Source organism: Homo sapiens, chromosome 18, assembly GCF_000001405.40.
Source record: "Homo sapiens chromosome 18, GRCh38.p14 Primary Assembly".
Classification (NCBI taxonomy): Eukaryota; Metazoa; Chordata; class Mammalia; order Primates; family Hominidae; genus Homo; species Homo sapiens.
In genome coordinates this window covers 79,272,627-79,299,549 of record NC_000018.10, presented here as the reverse complement: position 1 = coordinate 79,299,549, position 26,923 = coordinate 79,272,627, and the positions used below count along the sequence as shown (strand labels likewise).

The 26,923-nt window shown below is 41.0% G+C and overlaps 1 protein-coding gene and 1 long non-coding RNA gene across 39 annotated transcripts in view, besides 1 other annotated feature; one reads left to right on the top strand and one right to left on the bottom strand.

Moving 5' to 3' along the window:
* The window catches only part of ATP9B (ATPase phospholipid transporting 9B (putative)), a 308,890-nt gene that overhangs the window by 78,734 nt on the left and 203,233 nt on the right, over window positions 1–26,923 (bottom strand). For 35 of the 37 annotated variants that reach the window (XM_017025726.2, XM_011525963.3, XM_017025727.2 and 32 more), the window contains one exon: window positions 22,354–22,496. In XM_017025726.2, coding sequence (XP_016881215.1) covers window positions 22,354–22,496 — 143 coding nt within the window. Of the gene's footprint in view, window positions 1–22,353; window positions 22,497–23,260; window positions 23,446–26,923 lie in introns of those variants that run through there. The other 2 variants (NR_148360.2, XM_047437502.1) reach the window with 2 other exon arrangements.
* Window positions 605–26,624, top strand: LOC105372226 (uncharacterized). Of its 2 annotated transcripts, none has more exons than XR_935686.3 (3): window positions 605–694; window positions 8,209–8,315; window positions 26,541–26,624. It is a non-coding gene; the product is annotated as an uncharacterized LOC105372226 (long non-coding RNA). The 2 variants fall into 2 exon arrangements; XR_935687.3 differs by lacking the exon at window positions 26,541–26,624 and adding an exon at window positions 17,203–17,344.
* Window positions 23,145–23,214: an enhancer, noted in NCBI's record as "active region_13537". NCBI's record gives its function as "activates an Ori minimal core promoter by ATAC-STARR-seq in GM12878 lymphoblastoid cells {active_cell/tissue: GM12878}" and the evidence as "EXISTENCE:reporter gene assay evidence [ECO:0000049][PMID:35858748]".

Genomic DNA, 26,923 nt, shown 5'->3' with positions numbered 1-26,923 from the left:
TACTGAGAGGCACTAATGCAGGGTCCATGTGGTGCAGTCACAGGAGACTGCAGAGAGGGGGCAGGGACTGCTCCCAGGAGTGGTGGCATCTGACCTGTGACTTGAAGCATATGAATTTACTAGTGGTTTCCACAAGAGAAGCGCTCCAGGAAGAGGGAACTGTATGTGGCTCGCACATGGGTCTGGGAGCAAAGACAAATGCCTGTGAATGGAAGAGACACACACAAGAGAAGGGCTGGAGAGGGAGGAGGGGGTGAGGAGCTCTCTAGGTCCCATCAAGAGAGCACAGTGAAGCAGAGAGCCTCCTGTCCACCAAGAGGGCATGCAGAGCCAGGCTCAGGAGTCCCGGCTTCATTCTGGATGGGCCCTGTCCAGGTAACAGAGTTAACTGAGGCATTATTCTAAGGACAGAGTGGTGGGGGTCAAATGTGGGGGAAAGAACTGGGATCAAGGTCTACGTGAAGGATGATGTGGCAGCAGGCATCAAGACAGAAAGGAAGAGGCAAATGCATGAAATCTTCAGAAGTCTAGAAAAGAGCATCAACTGGACTTGGGAACTGAATGTGGAGGCTCCGGATCCAAGACCTCGAAGAGCAGCTCAGGCTGACTGCCTTGCTCAGGGAGGCTGGCCCTCAACAAGAAACAGGAATTAAGAAAGTAGACAGCTTTGGGAGAAGGGGAGAACACACAGATGGTGAGTCTGAAGTGGCTATGGGACAGCCACTCTGCCTCCTGAGAAGGAGGAACATCTTTCCTCATACTGATGTTCTGTTCCCATATCCTCTTTGGTGCAAGGCCAACTTCTAGGTTCTGTATCCATTGAAAAATCCCCCAATACCACACAGTCTTGATGACTGCAGCTTATTTAAGTCTTGAAATCTGGTAGTGAGTCCTTCAACTTTCTTCTTTGTCAAAGTCACTTCAGCTATCCTGCTCCTTTGCCTTAAAAATAAATTTAGAAATAATCTTACCTACAAAACAAATCTTGACAGAAACTGAATTAAACTGAATATCGAAAAGAGAAGTGACATTTTTAGTGTGTGGAGACTTGAGGTCCATGAGCAAAATCACTGTGTTTATTTCGGTCTATTTTGGTTTCTTTCATGAGTGTGACGTAGTTTGCAGCCCACAAGGCCCACTCATTTTATATTAGATTCACGGCTAAGTACCGCGCTTTTTTCAAGGAATTATAAACGGCACCGTACTTTTCATCTCAGCTGGCACATATTCACTGCAAGTGTAGATACACCATTGGTTTCTGCATGTGGACAGTCTACCCTGTGACCCTGCTGAACTCACTGGCTCACAGAATTTTTTGTACATTCCTTGGATTTTCTAGGTAGATAATTATTCCATCTGCAGACAGGGACAATTTTCTTTCTTTAATTTTAACTCGATTTCTTCCTTTCTGATATCCATACCTTGCATTCCCCTTTCTTACCGTACTGCACTGTCTGGAATGCTGGCACTGTTGGACAAGCACCCTCGCTTCCTTCCTGACCTAGGGAAAGCGTGCGTCTCCATCACACAGAGTGAGGCCTCAGCCTCAGCTCTTTAAGATTCTCTTCAGCAACCTGAGGATGTTCCCCTCTAATCCTTGTTTTCCGAGTTTTCTTCTTAAAGCATGAATGAGGGCTACATTTGTCATATGCTTTTCTGCATCCCTTCCTGCTCTTTATACCCAGGGCTGTTCTGTTAAGGTCATTGCAGTGTTTCCTTCCTAATTACAGATCAGGCCAGCATTAGATACAATTATTACACGACAGTGTAGAGTCTTATCAAGGCGAAACATGAAATCCTAAGTCCCTGAGTAGCTGTTTTATCTCCTTAAACTAAACATAATATAATGTATTTGAAAGTGCAACAAACTTCTCTATTAAGAAGAGAATTTTTGATCTGTAAAGTACAAACCCCTACATCTAAATATAGTAAAATTAAGCTACAGGACAAACTACAGTCCTAATGGACACCCACATAGACAGTCATGGAATTCCACATCCCATTTGTCTCACTAAAAAGTAGATATATTACCAAAAATACCCACAATATATAAAATGTGTATTTAATATTTACTGAGTGCCTCATAACGCGATGAGAACGGCGGGCCGCGTCTTGCTAGCCCCTGTGGTGTCTGGGTCGTCTGTGTCTCCTCTCTGGGTCATCTGTCTTCTCTCTGGGTCGTCTGTGTCTCCTCTCTGGCTGGGTCATCTCTGTCTCCTCTCTGGGTCATCTCTCTTTCTCCTCTCTGGGTCGTCTGTGTCTCCTCTCTGGGTCATCTCTCTGTCTTCTCTCTGGGTCGTCTGCGTCTCCTCTCTGGGTCATCTCTCTGTCTTCTCTCTGGGTCGTCTGTGTCTCCTCTCTGGGTCATCTCTCTTTGTCCTCTCTGGGTCGTCTCTCTGTCTCCTCTCTGGGTCGTCTGTCTCCTCTCTGGGTCGTCTGTGTCTTCTCTCTGGGTCGTCTGTGTCTCCTCTCTGGGTCATCTCTCTGTCTTCTCTCTGGGTCATCTCTCTGTCTTCTCTCTGGGTCGTCTCTGTCTTCTCTCTGGGTCGTCTGTGTCTTCTCTCTGGGTCATCTCTCTGTCTCCTCTCTGGGTCATCTCTCTTTCTCCTCTCTGGGTCATCTCTCTGTCTTCTCTCTGGGTCATCTCTGTCTTCTCTGTGGGTCATCCCTGTCTTCTCTCTGGGTCTTTAGCTGCTGAGCGTGCATCTCCCCTACTGCAGTGGAATCTCCAGGAAGGCAGTGTCTGTATTATCCCAACTCTATCCCCAGAACCTGACTCCTAAATAGCAGCCAAAAAAGTTGCTGATTTAAATTTTTAAAAAAGAATAATGATAACGAGCCTAATTTATGAAACAAGGGTGGTGGAAGGTATATAGAAGACTGCTGTAAACAGAAATCAAACACTTGCACTACTGTTTCTGCCCTGGATGAAAATATTTTCTGTGTGGAATCCAAAGTTGGAAATATTATATAAAAATCCGGAAGATACCTTCTATATTTAGTTCTTTCCTGTCCTTAAAAATACTTGAGATTTATTTGAAAAATCTGTTTTTTACCTCGTTATTGACGTTGCAAAGTGCAGCTAGCGTAGGATTCTCACCACAGGTTTGGCAACATGCAGATAAATTTAAAGCCACACAAGATCTTTAGGAAAAAACCACACAATTTACAGTAATTGATTTTTGAAACTATGTGTTATTAAGTTATTAATTCCTGTCTCACTCCTTCTGGGCTGCAGTAACATGGTGGCTCACACCTGTCATTCCAGCACTTTGGGAGACCAAGATAGGAAGATGGCTTGGGCCTAGGAGTTCAAGACCAGCCTGAGCAACACGGTGAGACTCGATCTCTATCACAAATACAAAAACTAGCTGGGCATGGCAGCACACACCTGCAGTCCCAGCTACTAGGGAGGCTGAGGCAGGAAGATGGACTGCGCTCAGGAGTTTGAGGCTGCAGTGAGCTGTGATCACGACACTGCACTCCAGCCTGAGTCACAGAGCAAGACCTTGTCTCAAACCAGCCCAGGTGACAGAGCAAGACCCTGTCTCAAAAAATAAAAATTAAAATTAAAAAATACCATAAACCAAGTGGTTTATAAACAACAAACATTTACTTCTCATAGCTCTGGCGGCTGGGAAATGCAAGATGAGGCACCAGGAGATTTGGTGTCTGATGAGGGCCCTCATCATAGTGGAGCCTTCTTGCAGTGTCCTCAGGGCTGGGAGAGGGAATCTGCCTCCCTAGGACCTTGCTTTTAAGGGAACCAATCCCATTCATGGGGGCTCTGCCCCATGACCCAGTCACCTCTCCTAATTAGTACTATGCCATCATCTGGGACTCAGTTTCAACACAGGGATTTTAGAGAGAGATGAACATTCAGGCCACATGATACCTGAGTGTAACGTATCTGCTGTCAGAAACAACAGGGAATATCACTGCATTGTGAATAAAGCTATTCTAATGACACATATAAAAATTTAAAAAGAAAATGGGAGGAGAGGTTTGGCAAATGTGGAATTTGCCATGTGTGAAAATTATTCTTTAAACACCATGTACATTCTGCCCTCAGACATAATACCCCCTTTCACTTATACAGTTGGCCAAAAAGCAATGAGAAAAATTGTAGACAGTAAAAGATTCAAGTTTTCTCGATATGAAACTTTATAATAGGTTTTAAATAACACAGTTTTCTTAGAGGAAATCAATGAGTAAGATGGTTATAAACATAATTACGTGCCAATTTCACTTTGCTAGACCAATGTATTTCTGATGCTTTAGTAGGGCAGTTGATTTGAACAGTGAAATGTTGATTTTGGGTGTCTAATAGTCAAAATTTCCACTTTCCTGGTAATAATACCATTTCAACATGCGGAATACACACTAGAAATCCCTCATGGTATATGGGGCATCAACCTTGCTGTGTGTGTGTGTGTGTCTGTGTCTGTGTATGTGTGTGCTTGCATTCATGGATGCACGCACACGTACCTATAGCTGGAATAAAACCAAAACACACAGAAAATGTCATTTTTGTATGTAAATTTGAAAGATATTAAATGCAAGGAACTGAAATCCAGGAACGTATGTTCTTTTCACCCCTTCTACATTTTTAAAAGGAAATGTTAAATTACCTCAAGAAGACAGATAGTCTCCTGAAAGCCCTGTGGCCATCGCTCCTTTTTGGCAACATGGACCTAGGGCAGCTCTTTCATCTGAGCCCTCACTTCACTCCTCTTGGCGCTGCTGAAACTAATCTGAGCCATATCATTTCAACCATGGGCATGTCAGTATCATTTGTGAAAGACACTTTAAACAGAACCGAAATATTAGCACACCAGACAGCCACAATAACTCCTCCATGTTAAACAGAAGTCAGGGTTCTAATTTCCAGGTGTCTCGTGTGTCATAGTTTTTTACACTGCTTGTCTGAAGTATGGATCCAGGAAAGGTCTCTTGAGCCTCTTTTACTCTACAGCTTTCTCCTCCATCTCTTTCTTCCTTGAAATTGATTTGTTAAAGAACCTGGACTGACGGTTTCAGTTCCCACAATCTGTACTTGGCCACTGGCCGTTTCTCCTGTGCCTGTGGGCCCTGTGTTTCCTGTGAGCCACGGCTGGGCAAGGCTGGCGAGGCAAGGTTCCGTGGAGACTGCTGCAGCGCAGGGAGCGTCCTTCCATCAGGAAGCAGGGTGTCTGGCCGCCTCCTCTGATGTAAACAGCCACCCACAATCGATTCCTAGGCCCACGAATTCATCATGGGTTGAAAGTGGCATATAGTTGAGGTACTTATCATTGACTTTGGGACATCTTTTTCTGGAGAAGAGAACTCTGGCATTTCTAAATGCAAAAAATCCACATGGACAACAGATGTTTTCCAAAAACAAAGTTACATCATTTATAATCACTCCATTCACAGACTCTTTCTAGACAGTAAATCAGGGATTTTAAAGCACTATTTTAATCCAGTGCTTTAGTTAGATGTCCTTTCTCAGCTTGGTGGTAGTATTTCAAGTTCTGAGATTCCCAACTTCAGCTATGCTATTATACTTTGCTTCTTACTGCTGCTTGGAGAAAACTGAGAGGAATTCTACATGTACACAAAGACCCCTTGAAAATACTGGAGACCAGATAGCTGTCACAGAAACATGCAAGGCGATGCTAAAATACTGAATATAATATCTGCGCATTTATGCATTTAGTTGAAAATAATTTAAAATATAACTGAAACTTAGGTTTGAACTATTTTTCCTTTTGAGTTATGTTTATAAAGCTTTATATCTCAGTAGATACCAAAAGTCTTATTCAGTTACTTAATTGGAGCCAGGGAGAATGAAATGGAGAACTGTCTTAGTCCATTTTCTGTTGCTATAACCAAATACCTGAGACTGGGTAATTAATTTTAAAAAGGAATTTATTGCTTACAGTTCTGGAGGCTGGAAAGTCCGAGGCTGAGGTGCTGCATCTGGTCAGGGCCTTTCTGCTGGTGGGGACTCTCTGCAGAGTCCTGAGGCACTGCAGGCCGCCCCATGATGGGAGGAGGCTCAAGAGGGCCAAAGTGGCTTTTCTAACAGACCCACTCTTGTGACAACTAACACTCCATGAAAATCCACTGATCCATTCACCCATTAATCCATGAGTAGATTCATTCATTCATGAGAGCAGATCTCTCATGACCCACTTGCCTCTTAACGGCCCCACCTCTTAATAGTGTCACACTGGGGATGACATTTCAATAAGAGTTTTTGAGGGGGCAAACATTCAAACTGTATAACAAATTTAGAATACTTTCTCAAAGCTGAGTAATTTAAAAATACTATAATTTTAGTGTTTGTATTTAGGTCTATGATCCATTTTGAGTTAGCTTTTAGGTACAAGTGGGATAAGTATCCAACTTCATTTTTTGCATGGGATATCTAGTTGCCCAGCACCATTTGTTGAAAACACTGTTCTTTCTCCATAGCATTATCTTGGCATCCTTGTTGAAAACCCAATGACCGTAAGTGTTTGGATTTATTTATGGCCTCTCACTTCTAGTCCATCAATCTATGTGTCTGTCCTTATGCCCGCACCACATACCACATTGTCTTGATTACTGTAGCTTTGTATTAGGTTTTGAAACCAGGAGCTGCTGCCAGGTGTAATAGCTCATGCCTGTAATCCCAGCATTTTGGGTGCTGAGGCACGAGGATCACTTAAGCCCAGGAGATCAAGGTTTCAGTGACCCACAATTGTGCCACTGCACTCCAGCCTGGGTGACAGAGCAAGACCCTGTTTCAAAAACAAAACAAAACAAAACAAAACAAACCCCTAACCTCACATCTTTCACCCACCCCCCACTCTGCAGCCCACATTCCTCGGATGCATGTCTTTTTTTTTTTTTTAAAGAAGAAATCACGAGTTGCAAGTCCTCTAACTTTGTTTGTTTTTCAAGATTGTTGTAGCCATGCTGAATCCCTAGTATCTCCATGTGAATTTCAGAATCAGCTTGCCAATTTATGCAAAGGTAGCTGGGATTTTAGTAGGTATTACACAGAACCTATAGATAAAAGAAGCTAGAATTGTTGCCGTCTTAACACAATGAAATATTTTTTGATGCACTGTAAATACAATTGTTTTCTTAATTCTATCTCTGGATGGTTCGTTGTTAGCATACAGAAATACAATTTCATTCTTGTGTGTTGATCTTGCGTCCTACAATCTTACCAAACCCCTTTAATTAATAGAGGGCTGGGTGACTCCTGAGGATTTCCTACGGACATGACCATGTCACACATACAGAGAGAGTTTTGCTCTCCTTTACAATGTGGACGCCACCTTCTTGCTCTTGCCTAACTGCATTGGCTAGAACCCTGAATACTCACAGCAGCATTAGTCGTAGTAGGCAAAAAGTAGAAACAACCCATGTCCATCACCTTATGAATGGATAAATAAAGTGTGGTGTATCCACACGATGGAATATTATTTGGCAATAAACAGAAATGAGGTACTGATATACACTACAATACGAATGAACCAGTAAAAGAGTATATGCCAGTGAAGGAGGCCAGCAGGGACTGCATAGGTCTGACTCATTTACGTGGAACGCCCAGGACAGGCAAGTCCTCAGAGACAGAAAGTAACCAGGGGCTGCCTGGGGCACGGGCGATGGAAGGGGAGGATGGGGAGTGCCAAGGTTGCTTTTTAGGGTGATGAGAATGTTTTAAAGTTAGATTGTGGTGAGAGTGGAATAAGAGAGCGATGTATCCTGACAGTTGACCATTTGAATTAAACAAATGCGTGGTATCTTCTAAAATGTTTCCGTTGCTAATCAATCATGTTATCAGTAGCTTAAAACTGACATTCAAATAAATGACTAACACTTCTCATCAACGAATGATAAAGTTTTTGGGTTTGTTATTCTGTCCATGTGAATAAATGCAATCACACCTTGTTGGGTTAAAGAAACTGCAATACTTATGCAGACATTCCTTCAGGTGAGTGGCACACGTACTTTCTTCACATATGAAGATGAAGCCCAAAAATATTTTTTAAATCTCGATGATTTTTTAATTTCATAACTTGCTAATTTCAGACTTTCCTTCACCTCTTATGCAGTAGTAGATAATGTAGAGTCTGTAATACAAAATTATTTTTCAAATCTTACCTCAAATGCTCTCCATGATTTCAAACACTGATGATTTCTACAACTTTTGTCATTTTAATACAACAGAAATTAATATGCCCCCAAATTGGAAGCTTTGGAAAAGGGAGGAATGAATGCAGCCAGAGAGTAAGAGTGCCGTCACGTCAAAGAGATTCACAGCAGACTCGGCTATGGTATGTAGCTATATAGACAGAAAATGTCTTTTGACAAAAGGTTTCTGATTTCTTAAAAAAAAAAAGCTGCAGCTCTTTAATGAAAAAGAGTTTTTTGGGACTATAATGAACAAAGCAGGCAAAGAGGAAATTAATTTCTAGGGAAAAAGTCCTGCAGGCATCATTCTCAGAGTGGCAACAGATGTGATCCATGACTGAGCCGAGTAGACAGTTTCTGAGACACAGCTGCAGAGGTTTCGGACCACATATTCCTGAATTGTGAATTGGCCTCACCCCTAAACTCTACCACACCATCATACAAAAGGGAGCCAGTGATTTTAATATATAAAGAAAGGTAACACTGAGATATGCCACGCACCTAGAGCAATAAACTTTCTTGTGAAGATTCTAGTTAAACAAAGTAAGACACATACATAATCAGCGGATGTATCAAAACACAAACTTACTTAGACCTTACAAGAAATGGAAGGGGGGCAGCCAAGACAGCCGAATAGGAACAGCTCCAGTCTACAGCTCCCAGCGTGAGCAAGGCAGAAGATGGGTGATTTCTGCATTTCCATCTGAGGTACCGGGTTCATCTCACTAGGGAGTGCCAGACAGTGGGCCCAGGACAGTGGGTGCAGCGCATGTTGCGCGAGCCGAAGCAGGGCGAGGCATTGCCTCACTCGGGAAGAGCAAGGGTCAGGGAGTTCCCTTTCCTAGTCAAAGAAAGGGGTGACAGACAGCACCTGGAAAATCGGGTCACTCCCACCCGAATACTGCACTTTTCTGACGGGCTTAAAAAAGGGCGCACCATGAGATTATATCCCGCACCTGGCTCGGAGGGTCCTACCCCACAGAGTCTCGCTGATTGCTAGCACAGCAGTCTGAGATCAAACTGCAAGGCGGCAGCAAGGCTGGGGGAGGGGCGCCCGCCATTGCCCAGGCTTGCTTAGGTAAACAAAGCAGCCAGGAAGCTCCAACTGGGTGGAGCCCACCACAGCTCAAGGAGGCCTGCCTGCCTCTGTAGGCTCCACCTCTGGGGGCAGGACACAGACAAACAAAAAGACAGCAGTAACCTCTGCAGACTTAAATGTCCCTGTCTGACAGCTTTGAAGAGAGCAGTGGTTCTCCCAGCACGCAGCTGGAGATCTGAGAACGGGCAGACTGCCTCCTCAAGTGGGTCCCTGACCCCTGACCCCCGAGCAGCCTAACTGGGAGGCACCCCCCAAGCAGGGGCAGACTGACACCTCACACAGCCGGGTACTCCTCTGAGACAAAACTTCCAGAGGAACGATCAGACAGCAGCATTCGCGATTCACGAAAATCCGCTATTCTGCACCCACTGCTGCTAATACCCAGACAAACAGGGTCTGGAGTGGACCTCCAGCAAGCTCCAACAGACCTGCAGCTGAGGGTCCTGTCTGTCAGAAGGAAAACTAACAAACAGAAAGGACATCCACACCAAAAACTAATCTGTACATCACCATCATCAAAGACCAAAAGTAGACAAAACCACAAAGATGGGGAAAAAACAGAGCAGAAAAACTGCAAACTCTAAAAAGCAGAGCGCCTCTCCTCCTCCAAAGGAACACAGTTCCGCACCAGCAACAGAACAAAGCTGGACGGAGAATGACTTTGACGAGTTGAGAGAAGGCTTCAGACGATCAAACTACTCTGAGCTACAGGAGGAAATTCGAACCAAAGGCAAAGAAGTTAAAAATTTTGAAAAAAATTTAGACGAATGTATAACTAGAATAACCAATACAGAGAAGTGCTTAAAGGAGCTGATGGAGCTGAAAGCCAAGTCTCGAGAACTACATGAAGAATGCAGAAGCCTCAGGAGCCGATGTGATCAACTGGAAGAAAGGGTATCAGTGATGGAAGATGAAATGAATGAAATGAAGTGAGAAGGGAAGTTTAGAGAAAAAAGAATAAAAAGAAATGAACAAAGCCTCCAAGAAACATGAGACTGTGTGAAAAGACCAAATCTCCGTCTGATTGGCGTACCTGAAAGTGACGGGGAGAATGGAACCAAGTTGGAAAACATTCTGCAGGATATTATCCAGGAGAACCTCCCCAATCTAGCAAGGCAGGCCAACATTCAGATTCAGGAAATACAGAGAACTCCACAAAGATACTCCTCGAGAAGAGCAACTCCAAGACACATAATTGTCAGATTCACCAAAGTTGAAATGAAGGAAAAAATGTTAAGGGCAGCCAGAGAGAAAGGTCGGGTTACCCTCAAAGGGAAGCCCATCAGACTAACAGTGGATCTCTCGGCAGAAACTCTACAAGCCAGAAGAGAGTAGGGGCCAATATTCAACATGCTTAAAGAAAAGAATTTTCAACCGAGAATTTCATATCCAGCCAAACTAAGCTTCGTAAGTGAAGGAGAAATAAAATACTTTACAGACAAGCAAATGCTGAGAGATTTTGTCACCACCAGGCCTGCCCTAAAAGAGCTCCTGAAGGATGCACTAAACATGGAAAGGAACAACTGGTACCAGCCGCTGCAAAATCATGCCAAATTGTAAAGACCATCAAGTCTACGAAGAAACTGCATCAACTAACGAGCAAAATAACCAGCTAACATCATAATAACAGGATCAAATTCACACATAACAATATTAACTTTAAATGTAAATGGACTAAATGCTCCAATTAAAAGACACAGACTGGCAAATTGGATAAAGAGTCAAGACCCATCAGTGTGCTGTATTCAGGAAACCCATCTCACGTGCAGAGACAGACATAGGCTCAAAATAAAAGGATGGAGGAAGATCTACCAAGCAAATGGAAAACAAAAAAAAGGCAGGGGTTGCAATCCCAGTCTCTGATAAAACAGACTTTAAACCAACGAAGATCAAAAGAGACAAGGCCATTACATAATGGTAAAGGGATCAAGTCAACAAGAAGAGCTAACTATCCTAAATATATATGCACCCAATACAGGAGCACCCAGATTCATAAAGCAAGTCCTGAGTGACCTACAAAGAGACTTAGACTCCCACACAATAATAATGGGAGACTTTAACACCCCACTGTCAACATTAGACAGATCAACGAGACAGAAAGTTAACAAGGATACCCAGGAATTGAACTCAGCTCTGCACCAAGCGGACCTAATAGACATCTACAGAACTCTCCACCCCAAATCAACAGAATATACATATTTTTCAGCACCACACCACACCTATTCCAAAATTGACCACATAGTTGGAAGTAAAGCTCTCCTCAGCAAATGTAAAAGAACAGAAATTATAACAAACTGTCTCTCAGACCACAATGCAATCAAACTAGAACTCAGGATTAAGAAACTCACTCAAAACCGCTCAACTACATGGAAACTGAACAACCTGCTCCTGAATGACTACTGGGTACATAACGAAATGAAGGCAGAAATAAAGATGTTCTTTGAAACCAACGAGAACAAAGACACAACATACCAGAATCTCTGGGACACATTCAAAGCAGTGTGTAGAGGGAAATCTATAGCACTAAATGCCCACAAGAGAAAGCAGGAAAGATCCTAAAGTGACACCCTAACATCACAATTAAAAGAACTAGAAAAGCAAGAGCAAACACATTCAAAAGCTAGCAGAAGGCAAGAAATAACTAAAATCAGAGCAGAACTGAAGGAAATAGAGACACAAAAAACCCTTCAAAAAATTAATGAATCCAGGAGCTGGTTTTTTGAAAGGATCAACAAAATTGATAGACCGCTAGCAAGACTAATAAAGAAGAAAAGAGAGAAGAATCAAATAGACGCAATAAAAAATGATAGAGGATATCACCACCGATCTCACAGAAATACAAACTACCATCAGAGAATACTACAAACACCTCTACGCAAATAAACTAGAAAATCTAGAAGAAATGGATAAATTCCTCAACACATACACCCTCCTAAGACTAAACCAGGAAGAAGTTGAATCTCTGAATAGACCAATAACAGGCTCTGAAATTGTGGCAATAATCAATAGCTTACCAACCAAAAAGAGTCCAAGACCAGATGGATTCACAGCCAAATTCTACCAGAGGTACAAGGAGGAACTGGTATCATTCCTTCTGAAACTATTCCAATCAATAGAAAATGAGGGAATCCTCCCTAACTCATTTTATGAGGCCAGCATCATCCTGATACCAAAGCCCGGCAGAGACACAACCAAAAAAGAGAATTTTAGACCAGTATCCTTGATGAACACTGATGCAAGCATCCTCAATAAAATACTGGCAAACCGAATCCAGCAGCACATCAAAAAGCTTATCCACCATGATCAAGTGGGCTTTACCCCTGGGATGCAAGGCTGGTTCAATATACGCAAATCAATAAATGTAATCCAGCATATAAACAGAACCAAAGACAAAAACCACATGATTATCTCAATAGATGCAGAAATGAATTTGATAAAATTCAACAACCCTTCATGCTAAAAACTCTCAATAAATTAGGTATTGATGGGACGTATCTCAAAATAATAAGAGCTATCTATGACAAACCCACAGCCAATATCATACTGAATGGGCCAAAACTGGAAGCATTCCCTTTGAAAACTGGCACAAGACAGGGATGCCCTCTCTCACCACTCCTATTCAACATAGTGTTGGAAGTTCTGGCCAGGGCAATTAGGCAGGAGAAGGAAATAAAGGGTATTCAATTAGGGAAAGAGGAAGTCAAACTGTCCCTGTTTGCAGATGACATGATTGTATATCTAGAAAACCCCATCGTCTCAGCCCAAAATCTCCTTAAACTGATAAGCAACTTCAGCAAAGTCTCAGGATACAAAATCAATGTACAAAAATCACAAGCATTCTTATACACCAATAACAGACAAACAGAGAGCCAAATCATGAGTGAACTCCCATTCACAATTGCTTCAAAGAGAATAAAATACCTAGGAATCCAACTTACAAGGGACGTGAAGGACTTCTTCAAGGAGAACTACAAACCACTGCTCAATGAAATAAAAGAGGATACAAACAAATGGAAGAACATTCCATGCTCATGGGTAGGAAGAATCAATATCATGAAAATGGCCGTACTGCCCAAGGTAATTTATAGATTCAATGCCATCCCCATCAAGCTACCAATGACTTTCTTCACAGAATTGGAAAAAACTACTTTAAAGTTCATATGGAACCAAAAAAGAGCCCGCATCGCCAAGTCAATCCTAAGCCAAAAGAACAAAGCTGGAGGCATCATGCTACCTGACTTCAAACTACACTACAAGGCTACAGTAACCAAAACAGCATGGTACTGGTACCAAAACAGAGATATAGATCAATGGAACATAACAGAGCCCTCAGAAATAATGCCGCATATCTACAACTATCTGATCTTTGACAAACCTGAGAAAAACAAGCAATGGGGAAAGGATTCCCTATTTAATAAATGGTGCTGGGAAAACTGGCTAGCCACATGTAGAAAGCTGAAACTGGATCCCTTTCTTACACCTTATACAAAAATTAATTCAAGATGGATTAAAGACTTAAACGTTAGACCTAAAACCATAAAAACTCTAGAAGAGAACCTAGGCATTACCATTCAGGGCATAGGCGTGGGCAAGGACTTCATGTCTAAAACACCAAAAGCAATGGCAACAAAAGCCAAAATTGACAAATGGGATCTAATTAAACTAAAGAGCTTCTGCAGAGCAAAAGAAACTACCATCAGAGTGAACAGGCAACCTACAAAATGGGAGAAAATTTTCACAACCTACTCATCTGACAAAGGGCTAATATCCAGAATCTACAATGAACTCAAATAAATTTACAAGAAAAAAACAACCCCATCAACAAGTGGGCGAAGGACATGAACAGGCACTTCTCAAAAGAAGACATTTATGCAGCCAAGAGACACATGAAAAAATGCTCATCATCACTGGTCATCAGAGAAATGCAAATCAAAACCACAATGAGATACCATCTCACACCAGTTAGAATGGCAATCATTAGAAAGTCAGGAAACAACAGGTGCTGGAGAGGATGTGGAGAAATAGGAACACTTTTACACTGTTGGTGGGACTGTAAACTAGTTCAACCATTGTGGAAGTCAGTGTGGTGATTCCTCAGGGATCTAGAACTAGAAATACCATTTGACCCAGCCATCCCATTACTGGGTATATACCCAAAGGACTATAAATCATGCTGCTATAAAGACACATGCACACGTATGTTTATTGCGGCATTATTCACAATAGCAAAGACTTGGAACCAACCCAAATGTCCAACAATGATAGACTGGATTAAGAAAATGTGGCACATATACAGCATGGAATACTATGCAGCCAGAAAAAATGATGAGTTCATGTCCTTTGTAGGGACATGGATGAAATTGGAAATCATCATTCTCAATAAACTATCGCAAGAACAAAAAACCAAACACTGCATATTCTCACTCATAGGTGGGAACTGAACAATGAGAACACACGGACACGGGAAGGGGAACATCACACTCTGGGGACTGTTGTGGGGTGGGGTGGGGGGGAGGGATAGCATTAGGAGATATATCTAAAGCTAAATAATGAGTTAATGGGTGCAGCACACAGCATGGCACATGTATACATATGTAACTAACCTGCACATTGTGCACATGTACCCTAAAACTTAAAGTATAATAATAATAAAAAAATTAAAAAAAATGAAATGGAAACAAAACTTAAGTGATAAGACTAATTTGCCAATCTTTAAAGTATGCTTTGAATTTTGAAAATATTTGACACTTTTTAAAAGTGAAGCCAAATATATTCAAAGTCAATGACACTGTTTAAAGTGAAGTCAAATATTATATTCAAAGTTAAATACAGTCTCTGCAAATCAGGCTTTCTCTAAACTGCGATTCTCAGGACGGTATGCATCAGTTAATTATCTGCATGTGTTAATATCTCAACTGGCCCAAACACCCCCAAAATGTTAATTACAGCACTCATATCCAAGGACACACATTAGTAAAAACAGAACCAGTAAGGCTACTCATATTTGCTGTAACTGAATACCCGGTTATTAGCATCATGCATAAGAGACTTGGTTTAAAAAACATTTCCAAGTCTTACCTGTGAGATTTGCTTGCCTCGTATGCACTCACTAGCACACACGTCATGCTTGCCTGCCCTTACAAACTGGGAAAACAGCTTTCCCCTTCATGATGATGCCATCTTGTGAAACTTATATGTGATTCAATTCTGAACAACATGGCATTTTGGGTAATGGATGCTATAATTAAAATGTGAGTCCTAAAAAACCTGTTGTTTTAGTGGGTGTTTTTAGTAACGGCTTTGTTCTACATGAAGATAAAACCTCCCTAACAAAGGAATTAATGTATTGCTTTAATAGGCTGCACCCTGAGTTAAGTTTTAAAATTTATGAGTTCTCTGCAGCATTGTTCTTTAAACAATGGCACTGTCAAATGCAACCAGTGAGAAGATTAAAGTTCTCCCAGCAGATTAAGTACAAATTGGCTGTCCTCCTGTTTCAGCATCATTTGTTCATTTATCAGCCGGCGTCGAGTATTTCTGGTCAGTGTCAATATGCTCTGCATCCTTGCAGTTCACAGATGTCTACGCTTGTCGAATGAATTGCTTTATGTTTCATGCACTGGTGGCCACAGATGTGTCACTATAGCAACATCATTAATTTCAGATCTTACCGGAAATGTGCACTCCAATCAAACCTAATTATACCACATTGCTTTCTTGTCCACAAGAAGGAAACTATAATGCAATTATTGGGATACTTCATTTTCTATTCTGCCGTGGCAAATGAGAGAACCACTGTGATGGACGCTTCTTATCCAAAAGCTTACTGATGAAGCACAGACCCCATTTACACTCCTGCGAAGGACCACCTTCCAATTATGTTAGTAACATTAAGGCTCCTGAGACAGCAGTTCACTCTCCATCACTTCAGCTGAAACTCAAGGCACTTGGAAGATATCTGCAAACTGCCTTATGGCTCAACATGCCTCCTCTGATACGGAGAACCAGGACGCTTTATAATAAACAACCATCCACAGTTACAGAACCTCTGCTGTGACTGAGGCCCCCAAGGTGACTGCAAAAGCCTGTCTGACTTCTGATTTACACACTGAAGGGCAGAGCAAAAGAGCAGAATTATTTATATGACTAAAATATGGAATACAAAATAGAAAGATCTTAATTATTTAAGTTCCTGGAATAAAACAACCGATTAGCAGTAAATACATGCACTGGTTTCACCAGGGTACTAGAGGCCTCACAAAGGCAAGGGGGCAAAACCAGCTGCTTTCAGAGTTGAGAGTGATTTGTATTTCTCTGTTGGCCTGGGTGCCCCTGTTATCTAGAGCTGTGTAACAAACTATCACAACATTTTAGTGACTGACAACACATTTCTTTTGCTCAGAAGGGTTAAAGGATTTGCCTAACATCACACATAGTTGGGGGGCACCAAGACTCAATCCCAGATTTGATTCCAAAGCCCTTTCCAATTGAGGATATGAAGTACATAGGAAACTAGATAGGAAACTACAGGCACAACTGAGAGACAGGGGAAGCGCTTGGTTCCAGACCTGGGCAATAAAGTGACTATCACAACAAAGTGAGCCACATGACTTTTTGCGTTTCCCAGTTCATAGAAAAGTGATGTTTACACTATAGTAAGTCTATTACATGTGCAATTAGTAGTATGTCTAAAAAACAATATACCTACCATAATTTAAAAATATTTTTAAAACGTGCTAACAATCATCTGAGCCTTCAGCAACTTTTAATCTTTTTGCTGGTAGAGGGTCTTGTCTTAATGTTGACGGCTGCTGACTGATCAGGGTGGTGGTGGCTGAAGTTTGGACTGGCTGTGGCAATTCCTTAAATAAGACAACAATGAAGTCTGCCACATAAACTGACTCTTCCTTTCACAAAATATTTCTCCGTAGCATGCCATGTTGTTGGACAGCATTTTACTCAAAGAACTTCATTTGAAACTGAAGTCGATGCTCTCAGACCCTGCTTTATCAACTTAGCTTATGGAATCTTCTAAATCCTTGGTTGTCACTTCAACAACATTCATAGCATCTTCTCCAGGAGCGGATTCCATTTCAAGAAACTACTTTCTTTGCTCATCCGTAAGAGGCAACTCCTCATCTGTTCGAGTTTCATCCTGAGGTTGCCGCAGTTCAGTCATCTTCAGGCTCCACTCCTAATTCCCTCCCTATTTTCACCACACCTGCGGCTCTTCCCTCCGCTGAGGTCTTGAAACCTTCTAACAGTCATCCCTGAGGGTCGGAATCAACTTCTTCCAAACCTGTATGAATGCTGACCTCCTCCCAGGTACCACGTATGTTCTTAATGGCAACTGGAATCGTGAATCCTTTCCAGAAGGTGTTCAATTTGATTTGGCCAGATCTATCAGTAGATCCATTAGTAGAGACAGGGTTTCACCATGTTGGTCAGGCTGGTCTTGAACTCCCGACCTCCGGTGATCCGCCTGCCTTGGCCTCCCAAAGTGCTGGGATTACTGGCATGAGCCACTGCACCTGGCCCCAGAAGATTTTTTTAAAAACTACTCTAATGGTTTTAGGATTGCTAAAACTGTTTCTTCTGAGTCATTTTTAACAGCTTACACTTTTTTTCTGAGAATTTTTCTATTACTCAGCTTTTTAGATTTACTGGTTATAAAACATTGTCATTCTCTTAAAATTTCTTTTAAGTATCAGATACATCTGTATCTATGTTTCTCTTCTCTTTTGTAGTATGTGTTCATGCTTTGTCTTACTTTTTTTTTTTGAAATGGAGTTTTACTCCTGTTGCCCAGGCTGGCATGCAATGGCGTGATCTCGCCTCACCAGGATCTCCGCCTCCTAGGTTCAAGTGATTCTCCTGCCTCAGCCTCCGGAGTAGCTAAGACTACAGGCATGCACCACCATGCCTGGCTAATTTTTGTATTTTTAGTAGAGACAGGTTTTCTCCATGTTGGTCAGGCTGGTCTCGAACTCCTGACCTTAGGTGATCCACCCGCCTCAGCCTCCCAAAGTGCTGGGATTACGGGTGTGAGTCACTGCACCTGGCCCACCTTTTCTTACTTTTTAAAAATCAGAATTCTGAAAGTGTGTTTATTTTGTTGTCTTTTTCAAAAGTCTGACAGGACGTATTAATCATTGATGGTTTTATCAAGTCACTGCTTTCTGTTGGTATCTTCTTTCCTTGTATTTTCCTTGAATTTATTTTACTATTCTTAAGTTGGCCATTTAGATAATTTTTAGGCTTTCTTGTTTTTCTATTTAAAAAAATGAAGGAAAGTTCCTATAAAAACCTTGATTTTGTACATTCATGGGCTTTGATATAAAGTGATTATATTATTATTTAGTTCTAGGCATTTTGAATCTGTATTATTTTTGGATGTATGCTATTTAAAAGTATATACTTCAATTTCTAAAAATGCAGAGATTTAAGAACTTATTTCTTTGTTATTAACTTCTAACTCATCTCTTTTTTATTGTGATCAGAAATATCCACTCTTTAAAATTTATTGAAATTTGACTCACGGCCTAGTATGTATCAAATTTGTGTAACTTTCTCATACATGTCTGATAAGCACATGTGTTTCTAGTTGTTAGATAAGTAACTCTATATATGTCCATAAGATCTAAACTGACAATTATGCTATTCAAATCTTCTGAACTGCCTGCTTGGCTAATCAATAAAAAAAAGAGATCTAAACATTTCTTCCTGTGGTTGACAGCAAATAATCAATATCTCCCTGTATCAATTCTTGCTTTATGTATTGAAACTATTTTATTAAGTACACAAACATTTTGAATTGAACCTTTTATGTAGTGACCCTCTTTCTTAAATAACTTTTTTCATTTTAAGGTTTATTTTGCTTAATATTAATCAAGGTAGATATACCAGTTTCCTTCTGATTCATATTGGTCTACATGCTTTTTTTAATGTTTCTTTTATTTACAGCTTGATCCTTTATTTTCCTCTAAATATTCAATGGTTTAATCTTTCATGGCTTTTATCTTTATATAAATAAACCTTATTAAATTTTTTATGTTTCTCTTAGTTCTTGAACATTCTATTTTGAAATCCATCCATGTTTCTGTCAATATCCGTACTCCATCGTCACTGCTATTTAGTATTCAACTGTAAGAACATTCCACAATTTCTTGGTCCATTCTATTTTTGATAAACTTTTTTATGTTACATCTAGACAGTTGCTTGCTTTTGTTAACCATTAGAATGCTGTGAATACTCTTATGCATGTCTTCTGGTGTAGATGTGCAAACATTTCTGTAGGGAACAGAAGCAGGAGCAAAACGGCTGGAGAGTAGAACACGTGCATATTCAACTTGACTGATGATGCCAAAATGTGTTTTACCAAGTGATGCGCTAACGCTAACTTAAGTTCCCACCAAGAGTGAACAGGAGTTTCTGATTCCTCCTAGGCTTGCAAACACATCAGATCTTTCAATGTGAGAAGAAATGATATCTCTTTATTATGCTAAGATATTCTATTCAAGAAGACAGTACGCCTATGTATTTCGGTCTTAAGGGCTTTCAAATTTTAAAAACTTACATCCATTTAGGTCTTACGTATTTTTGTTTACATTTATTTTTAATGATTTTATACTTTTTGTTGTTACTCTAACTGGTGTTTTGGTATTAAATGTCCTAATGGTTGCTGGTGTACAGAATTGCTGCTGAATTTAGATATTAAACTCATACATATGAATAAATTCTCTTAAAATTCTGAACATTTTCCTGAAGTTTCTTTTGCTTTTTCTATGAATTTGTTTTCTTTGGGAACAGTACGGTTGTTCATATTTTGCTACTTTGATTTCATGCTGGTGATTTGTCATTTCTGATTATATTTATCAATGAAGACTAAGTTGTTTGTAAAGTAAGCTGGGGTGGGTTTCTTCTGAAGTTCCATAAACCTGTTCCTCCAAAGGGCTGGTTTCCAAATCAAGGGGCTGTCTGTGAACTCTGCATAAGGGGCAGGCACATGAACCAGTGAGTGCTTCTCCCCAAAAGCCTCTCCACGTTGGGAAAGCAGCCCTCACAGGGGGCGCATGAGTGCTTCTCCCCAAAAGCCTCTCCACGTTGGGAAAGCAGCCCTCGCAGGGGGCACATGAGCAAATCCTGGTGGTCACCTGCTCTCACAGGCGCCGCTCACGGTGGCCTGATGGCTTCCCGTGCCACCCCACACACCTGTCGGCTCCAGGTCTGGGGCTCGTCCACCCCTAGGTTCTGCAGGACGTTTCTCCCACCCATGTGGGGTCTCCTCAGCAGCCACTGGCAACTTTGGTCTGCTTTGCTCTGCTCTCACCTGCAAACTGATTCCAACTGTTTTCCAGAAATAACTCAATTTCTGGATCCTCTAATATTTTTACTCCTGCTTGTTTTCTGTGTATTACCATGGATTTATTTATTCTTTAAACATTTTTCTGTAGGCTTCATGAGGTTGGGAAGGGAAAATCCTAACACTCTTTCTCAGTCTACCTTTTTGAACCAGAAGCCCCTCAAATTGCTCTCCGAGTCACTGGGATTCATAAACATTGCTCTCTTGGCCAAGTTCCTCAACCTCTCACAAGACAAAGTCTAATGGAACTCAAACACAAATCCAACAACTGAACTTTCAATTACACTAAAGTTACAAATTCATCATGAGAGCTGACACAAAGAATACTGAATTTCTACTTTTGAGATAATAGTATGACTTCCAAAACAGAGACTCCTCAACTTATGATGGGGTTATTAATGCATCTCACCTTCCGAATACCATGGCCTAGCCCTGTCTACCTTAACTGTGTCAGAACCCTTACGTTACCTGACAGTTGGGCAAAATCAGCTAACACAAAGAATATCCCATGTGATTTCTTGAACACCGTATTGAAAGTGAAAGAAAGAACTGCTGCACGGATAGTGGAAGTACAGTCCCGAGTGAAGCTACTGCACCACCATCGAGTTCGAGTGAAGCTACCGCACCACTCGATCAAAGTCGCATCAAGTCGAGCGACTATGAAGCTGCGGACCGTCTGTGTGCCCTTTCCATTCATTCCTCAGGTTCCTGCCTCTGTGTCTTCTATGGACGCAGCTGCTGTGAATGGAGCTTTACTCTTCGGTCTGTTCTCCACTATGTATTAGAGACCTGTTTTGTTATTTTAATCCATAATCTGCCACTTTTGCTATACCTGCAAATATTTGTTTCTTCCTTTAGTCTTATATCCTATTTCTATTTGTCTTGCTGCAATGGCTAGAGCTTCCATTATGAATTTTAAATAACAGTCTTGTTTGCAGATTTCTCTGTCCTCTTGTTGACTATAGTGAGGATTTTTCTACTATTTAATAGTTTAAAACTATGTTGAATTTTGTTTGCAACATATTTTGTTTATCACGCTATATAAGTATTCTTTTATTTTTAGTTCACTAAGAATTACTTGCAATTTAAATTACAAATCAATAAATCAAGGAGGAATTTTAGCCCTCAGATGTGGCTTTCCTTATAGTACCAGATTCCAATTGTTTGTCTTTAATCTGTTACGGATTGGTAAGAGTTCTTTGATGAAAAAAAGAAGAAAATTAAATAAGGACAAACAGAATTTTGGTCCTAGAGCTTTAGAGTGGGATAAATAGTCTGTAGTAAAGCTTTTTAGGAGAATTTGAGTATTAAATACCAAATTAACATATCTGTTATTTTCTTCTAATAGCTCACAAGTATCATTCTATAATAAACAAACATGGAATTCTTGCTCTTAATAAGCCACTAGGGAGGTGTTACAAAGGTAGTTTAAAAAAAAAACTGTAAGACTGTAGAAAATTAAAAACACAGAAATATGTTACTTAAAGCTCTAAGAACTTAACATTTTGATAATTCTTATGATACTGTGTATACTAGAAGATGATTAAGCTGTGTGACAGTTTCAAGAGTAGAGGCTGAAAAATTCTAAATATGGATTCAATGATCTGTTCCAATACATACACATATATACATACACATAAACATATATCTATACGCTATGCTATTTTTTATTAAATGTCATTTTGTCCATTCAAAGGTGAACACAGACCACGAACAGTACCTGTTTTGTCTGTCAATAAATACACCAGGCGCCCAAGTTCCTCTGGGATAGTGCTGGTCCGAACGACCGTGCCAGGGATGTTCTCATCTTTCATCATCATCCATCCATACACCGCTTTGCCCATGTCCAAGTTCACACGCAAACTGCCAAATAAAACCCATTGCAGTGGTTAGTGTGATCCAGAGCCATGTCCAAGTTCACACCCAAACTGCCAGATAAAACCCACTGCAGTGGTTAGTGTGATCCAGACCCATGTCCAAGTTCATACCCAAACTGCCAGATAAAACCCACTGCAGTGGTTAATGTGATCCAGACCCAGGCCACACATTCAGGCTCATGGTTCCATATACACGTATTTTTTAATATGCATTATCTTTCATTTTATATGAAAATACATAATATTGGATTTTAGACTTTAAAATAAATGTATTTACTGACATTTAAGTCAACAAACATGTTTACACCCAAGATAATATTTGTAGGTGACAGAAAAATAGGTAACTCCTATTCTGTCCTTCAAGACAGTCTGTAACACCAGATGGGACAGAAAAACAGACTGTTGTGAGTGTGCCCGTATATGCCCGCAAGGGACAACTACCAAAGGCTTACAGGACAGGGCACACACATGGAGCAGGCGGGGTCCTCCTGCAAATCAACATGGGAAATGGGCCTCAAGGTTTATCCACTTGTTTTACCATGACCAATGGGATATTTCCCGTGTTTCAGGAGCTAAACTGGAAAACAGAACAAATGGGATATGATATGACAAATAAAATGGTATCTGCTAACTATGCCCTGGACTTTTTAGTCATTTTTAAAATTTCATAATTTAAGTCCGTGTAGTAAGACTGCAATTAAAGCACATATGATGAGTCATCTGACTGGGGACAATTCTGCAGAACCTTGCCTGGAGGCAGTGGAGTGGAGCAGAAGGCTGGAACCCTGTAGGCCTGGAAACCTACAGAGCGGCCATGTCAGAACATGAGCTCACATCACATCACTTTAGGAGGCAGGCTCTGCTCATGCGGCTGCTGGCAGCGCAGTTCTTCCTATACAGCAACTCAAAAATGTTCACATGTGTCTAATTTAATCCTGTCAAGAAAGCAGACAGGATGTACTTATACCACAGAGTGAAACTGCTGATATTCAAACATTTTTGACCCAGCAAAATGGCAATTCACATAGCTCAACTATTAATAAGTACACACTCGAAAAATAGTCTTTAGGAATCACAGTCAATGAAGGAAGTCTGTATGTAAGTTAAAGAACATTAAATAATCATACTTTGACTTATCTGTCCATAGAGTTCATATCTTAAAAATTCTATGTACTAGTTAGAAAGTAAGCCTTTGACAATTACACAGCTTTTTAAACCAGCACCTCACCATCTTTCGCTATTTAAAATACAAACTAATCAAAGACACAAGCACTAAGCGAAGATGACTCAAAGCTCCCCTGCAAGATGACACTCAAGGCCGGACACAGCAGCCACTTGGCCTCTTGGTGCAGGACGGCTGCAGCTCCCTGGCGAGGAGTGCTGGCTGGCCATGCTGACGCCTACAAGTTACCCACCTGTATGCCTCCAGTGCCTCCTAACAAATGGGCTAGAGACGAAACCTTTATCAGCTGTGCTGAAGACTATGTGAACTGCTGCCTGCCAAATGTTCAGAGGAGTGTTTGACAGGCAGGAAAGGCTCAGGAAAAGCTAAGGACATTCCTGCAAATGGTTACTAAATAGCAGGGCTGTTCCACATGAGTTTAGGGTGAGTGGGAGGTTTGAAGAAGGAAAAGAAAACACATTTACATTAACTCTTCTTTGATTTGGGCTTTGGAGAAAGATTCTCTGTGAATCAGAAAGAGAAAGTGGAAGTCATGGACCACTTAGCTAAAATGTTAGCAATACTCAAGAAAGAAGGAGGCAGGCAAGGGGCAAGGTGGCCAAGAAATGACTGCCTTCCTGTACAGAAGAGGGGAAAAGGGCTTGAAAGGGGGATTTGACTTCCTATTACGCTATTCATGGCTCTGATTCTTTGGCTCGGATATCTGCACTTTGGAAAACATGGCTTTCTATCTATGTGCTGTGTTCTTTCAGATTTGTGTCATACTGTTTTGAAGAGTGTCAGCCTGCCTCAGCTACTATAATGCAAATGGGTTTCTGCTGTTAGCTGGGAATTTCTGAAGAGCTTGCAGTTGGCCACTGGGCTCAGGGTGGTGGAAGCCAAAGGACCAGGATGGCTCTTCTGGGCGCTGCTCCTCAATCACGAGGGGCCTATGGCTCATGAAACCGTTTCCGTGGTTAGACTTACGCGGAGCTGTTGTATCATGGAATATTAAGTTATTTCATGGAATATAATAATTACCACTGAAATATGGTAAGTTGAATACAAGTGCTCTCGGAAGATTGTATAAAGCAGTAGCTACTCATGAAAAGGTGAGAGATCATCTTCAGGATGAAAAAAATAAGTAGAGCCACTGCAGGATGCAAGTTTACAGCTTACTAGCGAAAGATCACTGAGTAAACTACACCTGACTTCAATTAAGACAATAATACCACATAGGGAGTATGTAATACCACACAGAGCATGTATAATACCACACGGGTTTTGTATAATACCACACAGGTTGCATATAATACCACACAGAATGCATCTAATACCACATAGGGAGTATGTAATACTACATAGGATGCATATACTACCACATAGGGCACATATACTACCACATGGGGTATTTAATACCACATAAGGAGTATATAACAACACATCGGGAGCATTTAATACTACATACAGAGTAGACAGCTTATATGCATGTGATTCACATGTACTTTGATTGTTAATACAGCAATTTCCTCTTTAACGTTAAAAATCTCCATGATGCTCAGATTTCAAACACTAAGTTGGCAGAGTATAGCTATCACTGCTGCATTATGTGTAATTTTTAGTAATGTTCTAATTTTATAGAATTTTAAAACCTGGATCTCTACTCAGCTGTAAAGTACTATACTGTAACATAATATGTCACCCCCCCTCAATATATATTAAACCTAGTATTTTGAGAATTATAGAAATAGATTATAAAGTAATCAATACCAGCTATATTTTAAGCTCATTTTATTGCTAATTTAGCAACTGTGAAATTGTTACCAAGAGACCTGTTCCAGATAAGTGGAAAAAGGTACCTGTCATTTCAGACAGTTACCTGAAACAAAAGGCAGTCATGACTTTTATGCAATATGAAAAATGAAATAAATTATCTTAAACAAATACTGTGTTCAGCAATGTTAGGAGTAGGAAGATACATGAACCTGTTTTATGCTACAGGAAGAAAGCATTCGTAAATCTCGGAATGTCAGATCTCTTAATTATACCTCCCTATTGTCCAAAAAGTTCCTTCTGCTCCACAGCTACAAAAGTGTCTGAGGAGGTAACTTGGACTCTGAAAAATTTGAAGTGCGTTTTCCTAAAATATACCATGCAATCTTATTTAGGCACCACGATGCTTGCTACATTTAAGCTCTAATTTGTTATAATTAAACCTGCAGCATTTATCACTACCAGGTGAACCCAGTCCCACAACTTGTCTGAGAATCGCGCGAGATTCTCCTCAGGGAATGAAACTACCTGAAATAATTCACATGCGTTCCTCTGTCAGACTTATTTTTTGGATTCTAATCTGAGCAAAACGAAACAGAAGTCATTTAATCAGAAGTTTTACCGAAGAAATTAACATCTTTTCCTACAGATCGTAAAGCTGAAAGGACACAGAGGCCATGTGATCTGAATTTTTCCCAGCATTTGTCACTCTGTGAAATCTTTCCATTTTTCATGGGATATTAGGGAGGCAGGGCCGGCGCCCAAACACTCTCCCTGGGTGAGTCCCACCAGTGTGATCCATGGTGGAGACAAGACCCAAAATGTCGAGGCCTAGTTTAGACCTCTCTCCGGGCTTCAGATGCACACGTGTTCTATTTCCTATGAGATATCTTAGATTCATCACAAACACCCTGAAATGAACAGACACACAATGGGTGTTAACATTCCTACTTCCTCCCCTTATGGGCCAAACAAAATAAAACACGCACATGTACTCTTCCTCAGCGTGGAAAGTTTCTCCATCATAACGACTGGCACGGCCACCTGCCACTGCAGCCAGACACCAAGAGTAATCCATTTCCCTTTTCCTTCCAGTGCCTGCATCCAGATAATCAAGAACTCCTGCCAGTTCAACCTCCTAAGTTCCACAGCCACTGGCCTTCCATGCTTCGTAGGGAGGAGGCATAGGTAACTGTGTTTTACCTGTATTGATTCCTAATTTTCAAACCTTCTTAGACCAATGACAGACTTGATTTTTCTGAGCCTCGGGAACAGCATCTGTAGAGTGCCATGGTCATTGTGTGGATTAGGAATGATGCATAACAGAAGGTGACTGAGAGTTACAGTGGAGCAAGTAATCAATGACAGGAAATGATCACTGATCTGAAGAGTTAGAGGGTTTATGGCAAATGAAGAGCCTGAGCTATAGTGGAGAGGGCTCAGGGAGAGGAGCATATCCGTGCAGGATTCAGTGGAGA